This window comes from Homo sapiens, chromosome 10 (assembly GCF_000001405.40).
Source record: "Homo sapiens chromosome 10, GRCh38.p14 Primary Assembly".
Lineage (NCBI taxonomy): Eukaryota > Metazoa > Chordata > Mammalia > Primates > Hominidae > Homo > Homo sapiens.
In genome coordinates, this window is record NC_000010.11 from 32,739,601 (window position 1) to 32,750,200 (window position 10,600).

At 37.0% G+C, this 10,600-nt stretch overlaps 1 protein-coding gene across 43 annotated transcripts in view; it reads left to right on the forward strand.

Moving 5' to 3' along the window:
- Positions 1–10,600, forward strand: part of CCDC7 (coiled-coil domain containing 7) — a 439,541-nt gene that overhangs the window by 296,277 nt on the left and 132,664 nt on the right. The window contains exon 30 of one of the 43 annotated variants that reach the window (XM_011519686.3): positions 6,429–10,552. The exons of the other annotated variants lie outside the window; for them this stretch is intronic. Within the exon in view, the coding sequence (XP_011517988.1) occupies positions 6,429–6,469 (41 nt within the window). The 3' untranslated portion in view covers positions 6,470–10,552. Of the gene's footprint in view, positions 1–6,428; positions 10,553–10,600 lie in introns of those variants that run through there. 43 annotated transcript variants of the gene reach the window in all.

Below are 10,600 nucleotides of genomic sequence, written 5' to 3' on the forward strand. Positions count from 1 at the left end.
ATTCTGCCATATCTGAGTTTGATGCTCATGCTTAAACTGTCTCTTCAGACTATGTTTTTTTTTTTTACTTTTAGCATGACTTGAAATTTTTGTTGTTGTTGTTGAAATCTAGACATAATGTATTGGACAATAGGAACTGAGGTATGTAAGCATTTAGTGTAATATGGTTACCTAGCTAGCAGTTAGGCTGTGTTTTCTGTTTGCTGAAATTGTAGGTATCAAATGATAAAATTTTCTAAAATATTGTCATTATTTTTGCCCCCCCCCACCAAACTGCTGTTTCTGGTTTCCTTTTAGATAGGGTCTGAGGCTTGCAGATATTTTAGCTGTAATCTGCTATTATTATGCAGGAGCCTGATTAATGTGGTGATAAGATGTCATGGGAGGAGAAGCAATCTATAATCCTCTAATTAGGTCTCAGTCTTTTAGTAAGCCTGTGCCTCAGGAGTCTACACTTCACAGGAGACTCCTATGTTTTTCTCCCCAACATCCCAGGCCCTTAGGTGAACAGGAGGTTTATAGGGGGCTGAAACTGGGTATTTCCCTTCCCCGTGTTGAAGGGTAGAAAGCAGCTGGAGTTGGATATTTCCTTTCCCCCAGGTCTATATTGTATAATAAAGCCTGTGTTAGTTATTCTCTCTGATAAAATAGTTTCCCTTGAGTGTAGTCTTTTGTTAAGAACAGAAAGGTCTGAATGTGATTTAAAATGATTTCTTTAATATAATTAATGATATATTTGGATTTACATGTTTCATTTTTGGGAGGAAATACAGTTGATACTTGAACAACATGAGTTTGAACTGTGTGGGTCCACTCATATGTGGCTTTTTTTCCAACCAAATATAGATTAAAAATACAGTATTTGTGAGATGCAAAACCCAACATATACAGAGGACCCACTTTTCATATACAAGTTCCACAGGGCCAACTACAGGACTTGACTATGTGCAGATTTTGGCATATGTGTGTGAAGGGGTGGTCCTGGAACTAATCCCTATGTATACCAAGGAATGACTGTATACAGACTCATGAACCAAAGAACAAACTTCTCCTAATTTTAATTGAAAAGATTCCAGCAGTGTGCATAATTTTAATATGTACTGAAAAGACTATCTGTTTTGGTGGCTCCAAGTTCTTAGTTTGAGATTGAGTTTTAATAAAGGATTAAAACTTTATCTTTGTGTTTTCTATTTTTTCCTATCTTACTTATTTTTACTTCTCTCACATTTATTGTTTCTTTTAAAGTAACCTTTTTTATCATTTCTTTTTCTTTCTTAATTATAATGCTTATGAGTTTTAAATTTTTTTGAATGATGGCTTTCCATACAAAACTGAAGATAATATTAAATGTTTTAAATGTTTGTGTATGTCTAGAAGTAATAAGAATGTGTCTACCTGCATTAATGAAAAATATTCTCCTAATTATTATTTTATACTATATAATCTTACTTTAATAGTTCATAGCACATAAATGTGATTATTTGCTAATAAGTTGTAAAAATGAGAGAGATACTGCTTAATATTGACATTTATTTTGAAATTCTGAGATTTCTCAATAAATTATTTTTTCCTAGGTAGTAGATTAAAAACATCTCTTCTTGCAACTTACAGAATGGCTTTACTTACTGAAACTCTTTTGTTCAAAGATAAAGTTTTAATCCTTTATTAAAACTCAATCTCAAACTAAGAACTTGGAGCCACCAAAACAGATAGTCTTTTCAGTACATATTAAAATTATGCACATTGCTGGAATCTTTTCAATTAAAATTAGGAGAAGTTTGTTCTTTGGTTCATGAGTCTGTATACAGTCATTCCTTGGTATACATAGGGATTAGTTCCAGGACCACCCCTTCATACACATATGCCAAAATCTGCACATAGTCAAGTCCTGTAGTTGGCCCTGTGGAACTTGTATATGAAAAGTGGGTCCTCTGTATATGTTGGGTTTTGCATCCCACAAATACTGTATTTGTAATCTATATTTGGTTGGAAAAAAAGCCACGTATGAGTGGACCCACACAGTTCAAACTCATGTTGTTCAAGTATCAACTGTATTTCCTCCCAAACATGAAAAAAATGTGTTAGTGAGATTCGTTAATTGTATTATTTAAATCTTCCATTTCTCTTACAACTGGTAATGTTTGTTTCATCAATTATTGAAAGAATATGTTCAATTCTCCCATTGTGAGTGTGAATTTCTCTATTACTCTGTGTGATTTTGTCAATATTTGCTTTACCTCTTTTGATGTTCTCCTATTTCAACATACACGTTACACATTTAAATTTGTTATATCTTCCTATGAACTGAACTTTTGTATTTATGAAAGGTTCCTTCTCATTTCTAGTTAGGTTTTTTGCCTAAAGGCCTATTTTATCTGATATTAATGTATCTACACCAACTTACTTTATGTTGGTATTTATGTGATGTATTCTTATAAGGCCAGTTCTCATGAACAACATATAGTTAGAATTTTTTGTTCCAATGTGAACATCTTTTCCTTTTAACTAGAATTTAGATGCATTTATATTTACTGTAAATACTAATATCTTTGAGATTAAATATTCCATTTTTATAAAATTTATTTTTAGAGCAGTTTTAGGTTCAGTTCACAGCAAAATTGAGCAGAAAGTACAGATTTCCTCTGTGCCTTCTGCCATTCCCCCCACACAGACTCCCCACTGTCAGCATCCTGCACCAGAGTAAAACATTTGTTATAACCAATGAACCTACACTGACACCACATTATCACCCAAAGTCCATAGTTTACTTTAGGGTTCACTGTTGGTGTTCGTATTCTGGGTTTTGACAAATGTGTGATGACATGTATATGATCATTATAGTATCGTACAGAATAGTTTCACTGCCCTAAACATCTTTTGTGCTCTCCCTATTTATTTCTCCCTTACCCCTAACTCCTCACAACCACTGACCTTTTTGTTGTGTCCATGATTTTGCTTTTTTCAGAATGTCTAACAGTTGGAATCATACAGTATGTAGCAGTCTTTGTCTGCTCAGGCTGCCATAACAAAATACCATAGACTAGGTAGCTGAAACAACAGAACTTATTTTCTCACAGTTCTGAAGGTTGGGAAGTCCAAGATCAATGTGCTGACTGGTGAAGAAGGGCTCTCCTTAGTTGTAGATAGCCACCTTCTCACTGTACCTTCATGTAGTCTTTCTTTTAAGGCCACCAATTCTGTAAGATTAGGAGTCCACTCTTACAATCTCATTTTACCTTAATTATCTCCGTGAGGGCATATGTCCAAATACAGTCACATTAGAGATTAGAGTTTTGACATATAAAGTTGAGAGATAAAATTCAGATTGGCTTATTTCAACTTAGTAATATACATTTTAAGGTTCCTCCATTTCTTCAGTGGCCTAGTGGCTAATTTCCTTTTAGCCCTGAGTAGTGCTGAATACTCTGGATATACCACAGTTAATGTATCTATTTACCTACTGAAGAATGTTATGGGTTTTTTCCCCAAGTTGTGGCAATTATGAATAAAGCTGCTGTAAACATCCATGTGCAGGTTTGTATATGGACATGTTTTCAATTCATTTGGGTAAATATCAAGTAGTGCAATTGCTGGATTATATGACAAGAATAGGTTTAGTTTTTAAGAAACAGCCACTTTTTGATGGGGTTGTTTGTTTTTTTCTTGTAAATTTGTTTGAGTTATTTATAGATTCTGGATATTAGCCCTTTGTCAGATGAGTAGATTGCAAAAATGTTCTCCCATTCTGTAGGTTACCTGTTCACTCTGATGGTAGTTTCTTTTGCTGTGCAGAAGCTCTTTAGTTTAATTAGATCCCATTTGTCAATTTTGGCTTTTGCTGCCATTGCCTTTGGTGTTTTAGACATGAAGTCCTTGCCCATGCCTATGTCCTCAACGGTATTGCCTAGGTTTTCTTCTAGGGTTTTTATGGTTTTAGGTCTAAGATTTAAGTCTTTAGTCCATTGTGGAAGACAGTGTGGTGATTCCTCAAGGATCTAGAACTAGAAATACCATTTGACCCAGCCATCCCATTACTGGGTATATACCCAAAGGATTATAAATGATACTGCTATAAAGACACATGCACACGTATGTTTATTGCGGCACTATTCACAATAGCAAAGACTTGGAACCAACCCAAATGTCCATCAGTGATAGACTGGATTAAGAAAATGTGGCACATATACACCATGGAATACTATGCAACCATAAAAAGGATGAGTTCATGTCCTTTGTAGGGACATGGATGAAGCTGGAAACCATCATTCTCAGCAAGCCATCGCAAGGACAAAAAACCAAACACCGCATATTCTCACTCATAGCTGGGAATTCAATAATGAGAACACTTGGACACAGGAAGGGGAACATCACACACCGGGGCCTGTTGTGGGGTGGGGGGAGGGGGGAGGGATAGCATTAGGAGATATACCTAATGTAAATGACAAATTAATGGGTGCAGCACATCAACATGGCACATGTATACATATGTAACAAACCTGCACATTGTGCACATGTATCCTAGAACTTAAAGTATAATTTAAAAAAAAAGAAAAAAAAAAGAAAATAACATGGCCAACAGGCTATATGGGTACTAAATCTAAGAACAAATAATGTGAATGAGATACTAAATGTTCAAAGCCTATACTGTTTGCTAAAAAGCATAAATCCAGTTGATCAGATGCCAGATTAAATGTAGAGAGACTAACAAAATATTACCGTAGCAGAAAATACTGTTAGAAATTAAGCAAATGAATAAACATTTTCCTGCTGGTGAAAAAAAAAAAAAAAGAAACAGCCAAAGTGTCTTCCAGAGTGGCTATGCCATTTTGTATTCTCACCAGCAATGAATGAAGATTCCTGTTGCTACACGTTCTTTTCTGCATTTATGTCAGTTTTTTGGAGTTAGGCCATTCTAATAACTGTGTAATTGTGTTTCATTGTTGTTCTAATGCACAATTTCCTAATGACATATATGTTACACATCTCTTTATATGCTTACTTATCATCTGTATGTCTTCTTTGGTAAGATGTCTGTTAAGGTATTTTGCCCATCTTTCAAATGGGATGTTTGTTTTAATATTGAGTTTTAAGAGTTCTTTGCATATTTTGGGTAACAGTCTTTTATCAGATATGTCTTTTGCAATGTAATTTCCCAACCTGTGGCATGACTTTTCATTCTTTTCACAGTGTCTTTTACAGAGCAGAAGTTGTTGAATTTTAATTAAGTCCAGCTTATCAATTTCTTCTTTGTTGTTGATTGTCTTTCATATTTTGTCTATAAAGTCATCTCCATGCCCAATGTCACCTAGGAATCTTTTATATTATCTTCTAGAAGTTGTATAGTTTTCCATTTTCTATTTAGACCTATGATACATTTTGAGTTAGTTTTTGTGAAGGGTATAAGGTCTGTATCTAGATTTATATTTTATTGCATATGGATGACTTGTTACTCCAGCATCATTTGTTGAAAAGATATTCCTTTCGTCATCAAATTGCCTTTGCTCCTTCATTAAAATTGGTTGACCATATTTGTGTGAATCCACTTCTGGGCTCTCTGTTCTGTGCCATTGATCTATTTGTCTATTCTTTTTATAAGACCACACTGTCTTGACTACTGTAGCTAATAATAAGTCAGTCATCTAACTTGGTTCTTCTCCTTCAACATTGTGTTGTCTCTTGTCTTAGTTCCTTTGCATTGCTATAAAAGAATATCTGAGGATGGGTAATTTATAAAGAAAACAGGTTTATTTGGTTCACAGTTCTGCAGACTATACAAGAAGCATGGTGTCAGCATCTGCTTAGGGTCTAAGGAAGCTTTAACTCACAATGTAAGGGGAAGGAGAGCCAGCATATTACATGACAAGTGAGGGAGCAAAAGAAAGATGGGAGGAGTTGTCAGGCTCTTTTTAACAATCAGATCTATAGGAAACTAGTAGAATGAGAACTCACTGATTATTACTATGAGGGCAGCACCAAGACATTCATGAGGGACCTGCCCTCATGACCTAAATACCTAACACCAGCTACGACCTCCAATATTGGTGATCCAGTTTCTACATGACCTTTGGAGGGGACAAATATCCAAATAATGTCAGCCATTCTGGGTATTTTGCCTCTTCATATAAACTTTAGAATTAGTTTGTCAATATTCACAAAATAACTTGCTGGGGTTTTGACTGGGATTACATTGAATCTCTAAGGAAGAACTGACACCTTGAAAATATTGTCATCCTAACTCTAAGCATATAATCTCTCTCCATTTATTTAGTTCTTCCTTGATTTCTTTTATCAGAGTTTTGTAGTTTCTACTATAGATTTTATATGTATTTTGTCAGCTTTATACCTAAGTATTCAATTTTGGGGGGCACTGTTGTAATTGATGTTGTGTTTTTCATTTCAAATTCCACTTGTTCATTGTTGGCATAAAGGAAAACAATTGACTTTTGAGGAGAAGACCCAAGATGGCTGACCAGACACAGCCAGGAAGAGCATCTCCCACTGAGAGACCAGACCATCAAGAAGACGGACACACTCTGAGCATGTCTTTGGAAGGACGGCATTGAGAGTGGACAGAGGGAGGATGTAGACCCTGGGCTGAAGGAGTAGGAAGCTGGGAAGCCTGCACAGGGCTGCCAAGCATCAGGACTCATTCTTGGTCCCCAGAAATTTTTGGGGAAAGGGTGAGTTAAATAGGTGAGGAGTGGTCTTATCTCACCATGCACCTCCAGAATCCTAGCTGCAGAAGACCCTATTGTCCTGATAGACATTTGAGCTGGCAGGGAGAGCTGCTTTAAGAGGTGGCAGGGACAGGGGTCTAGGCTGTGTGGATTCCAGAGGGTTTGGCGCTGCAATGACTACAGTGGAGCATGGCCAGCGATGCCCATCCCTCAAGGCTTGCCATGCTTCTCTAGGTGGCTTTGACCTTTGTTAACTGTCAGGCCTGGACAAAGCAGAGCTGTCAGTGACATCGGGCCAATCTTATCTGCACACCTCCCTGTCTGCCAGCCTCTCCTGGGGTCCCTGCCTGGCTATGTCTACTTGCAACACAGTCTCCAATGCCCAATTGTGGTGCTTCCTGGTGGCCACTGCCATGGTGCCTTTGCCAGCAGACCTCGGCTAACCATCAGAAAGCTTCTGCAGAGGGACCCCACCAATGTGCACCCACCTGCAGCCTCCTCGCACCACTTTGTCATTGTGCACTAACTTTCAGCCTCCCCTCAATGCTTTGCCAGCATGTGCACATGGATGCCATCAGGCCACAGCTGGCATGCGCACACAAGGACCCCATAGCACCACTGCTGGCATGCATCTGCAGACAGCACTACGCTGCTGCCTTGTCACAGCCAGCACATGCACATGTGCAGAATCCACAGTGCTGCTGCCTAGTCACCACTGGCACATGCGGGGACCCTGCTGTCACCACCACCCTGACAAAGCACTTTGCTGGGACCCCCCCAACTGAGTGTTGTTGCCAGCAGACTGGGAGACCCTTGGCCCCTGCAAGCATAGCAGGTGTTTAACCTCAAGGAGCCAGAGAGAAAAGCCACAGGCCTGGCCCCATAGGAAGAAGATTGAAACTGGACCCCCCTTCCTTTCACCACATGTAAAAATCAACCCAAGATGGATCAAAGACTTAAATGTAAAACCTACAACTATAAAAACCCTAGAAGGAAACCTAGGAAATACCCTTCTGGACACATGCCCTGGCAAAGATTTCATAACAAAGACCCCAAAAGCATTGCAACAGAAACAAAAATTGACAAGTGGAATCTAATTAAATTAAGGAGCTTCTGCACAAGAAAAGAAACTATCAACAGAGTAAAGAGACGACCTATAGAATGGGAGAGAATATGCACAAACTATGCATCCAACAAAGGTCTAGTATCCAGCATCTATATGGAACTCAAATCAATAAGCAAAAAACAACCCCATTAAAAAATGAGCAAAAGACATGAACAGACACTTCTCAAAAGAACACATACATGCGGCCAACAAGCATATGAAAAAAATGCTTAACATCTCTAATCATTAGAGAAATTCAAATCAAAACCACAATGAGATACCATCTCATACCAGTCAGAATGGCCATTGTTAAAAAGTAAAAAATAACAGATCCTAGTGAGGTTGTAGAGAAAAGGGAAGGCTTATACACTGCTGGTTGGAATGTAAATTAGTTCAGCCACTCTGGGAAGCAGTTTAGAGATTGGTTCTCAAAGAACTTAAAACAGAGCTACCATTTGACCCAGGAACCCCATTACTGGTTATATAGCCAAAGGAATATAAATCATCCTACCATAAAGACACATGCATGTGCATGTTCATCACAGCACTATTGACAATAGCAAAGACATAGAGTCAACAAAGATGCCTATCAACAGTGGACTGGATAAAGAAAATGTGGTACATATATATCATAGAATACTATGCAGCCATAAAAAGAATGAACTCATGTCCTTTGCAGCAACATGGACAGAGCTAGCAGCCATTATCCTAAGCAAATTAATGCAGGAACAGAAAACCAAATACCACATGTTCTCACTTATAAGTGGGAGCTAAATATTGAGCTCACATGAACACAAAGAAGGGAACAATAGACACTGGGGCCTACTTGAGGGTGGAGAATGGGTGGAGGTGAGGATCAAAAAACTATCAGGTAATATGCTGTCACTACCTGGGTGACAAAATAATTTGTACACCTAACTCCCATGACACACAATTTACCCATCTAACAGACCTCCACATGTACCCAAAATAATAGAAAAAAAAAGTAAAACATGTAACTTTTGTACATTAACCTTGTATCCTGCAACCTTGCCATAACTGCTAGTCTGACAATTCCAACATCCCTGTTGTATCTGAATTTAGTTGTAATGCTTGCTCTGTCTCTTCACTTTTTTTTGTCTGTTAGTGTGCATTGTAATATTTTATTAAAAGCCAGACATGATATACTAGGAAAAGAAACTCCAGTAAATGGGTCTCTAATTTTGTGGCGAATAAGTATGAGGGAAAAAAAGTCTTCTATAATCTTATGGTTAGATCTCAATCTTTTGGTGATCCTGTGTCCCTGGACTATGAACTTCTCCAGTGCTTCTCAGTTTTTTCCCTTCTTATGTGGGGCAGGATGGCTAGACGGGGCTGGAGTTGGGTATTTCCCTTCATGTAGGCTTGTTAGGCTCTGATAAAACCCTAGTCGGTTTGGCTCTGGTAAAAAGTACGTGTCCTGAGAGCAGACCTTGTTAAGAAGAACAGACTGCTCTGGCATATTTTGAAGTGGTTCCTTTTTCCTTTCCCTCTCTTAGGAACATAAAGGGATTTTTTTCTCCACTATTCATTGTGAGAACCTGGTACAGCTCCTGGAGGCAAAACTCACAAAAGTGTGGAAACTCCCTATAACTGAGCCTCCTTGGTGGTTTTATCCTTCAGACGTGTCCTCACTGAGGTTCCAGCAATTCACTAATTGCAATTCAGGTTTTCTTATCCTGGTTAAAAAGGTTTCTGCTTCATTAAGTTGTGATTCCCTATCTTTACCTGTTTCTCCAGTTTTGGGGGCAGCAGTTTGCCCTGTGACGTCTTTTCTATGAAGTATCTAAGAAGAGTTATTTTTCAACTTGTTCAGCTTTTTACTTGTTGTTAGGATGGAGTGACAGTTTCTGAGATTTTTACATGTTAGACTGGAAATTGGAAGGTCCGTTTAAAAAATTTTTTATCTTCCTTACCTCAGAAAAGGTATTTATCTCTTCATTGCTCTCTTTTGGACTGGTGACTTATAGCATCCTTCCATTTGTGTCAGTCATTTATCTTATTTTAATAATTTAAACTTTTTTCTAAAATATGTATACCATAAGAGAATCAAGTAATAAATTCATTTGTTTAATAACTAGGTATATCTATGAAATAGCAGATTTTCACGTATACACTGAGGAGAACTATTGTCTTTATTTTTATGCTTTAAGTATGTACTATATTTTAATATGTCAGTGCAACTTACTGTGGACATGTGATTGTTACAAAAATTAGAGAAAATATTTTTGTCCAGTTAAACAATATATAGTTTGTCTTTCTTTTATAGTGAACTACAAAAGTATCTCTTGTTCAGAACTTGAATATGTATTGAATGAAATACCAAAATGAAAATATTTGAGAGCAAGTATTCTTTTTAAAGTTTACTTTTTAAACAGTGTTTACTACAAAATATGTTACAGGTAATTTCATAAGACTTACGTGTAAATTTTAACAAATAAGCATGAAGCAAAACTAGGATAACCACCACTTAGGTCAAGAAATAGAGTTCTACTCTCACATAAAATCTTCAGTGTATCTCTCACAATTTCCTCCATCCTCACAGTGGCAATAGTTATATTGATTTTAAGATAACAGTTTTCTTGTTTCCTCTTATTTTGGTCAAAACATATGTAATTGCCAATATTCAACTATTTTTGACCTATAAGAAAATGACAAATTCATGTGGTTCAACCTAATAGTTTTACCATTTCAGTATGTAATTATAATATAATTTTTGAAGATTTTAAGAATAAATAATTCTCTAAATATCCTTTCTCATCTTGCTTTTTAAAATTTAATGTAATGTAAGACATGTAAC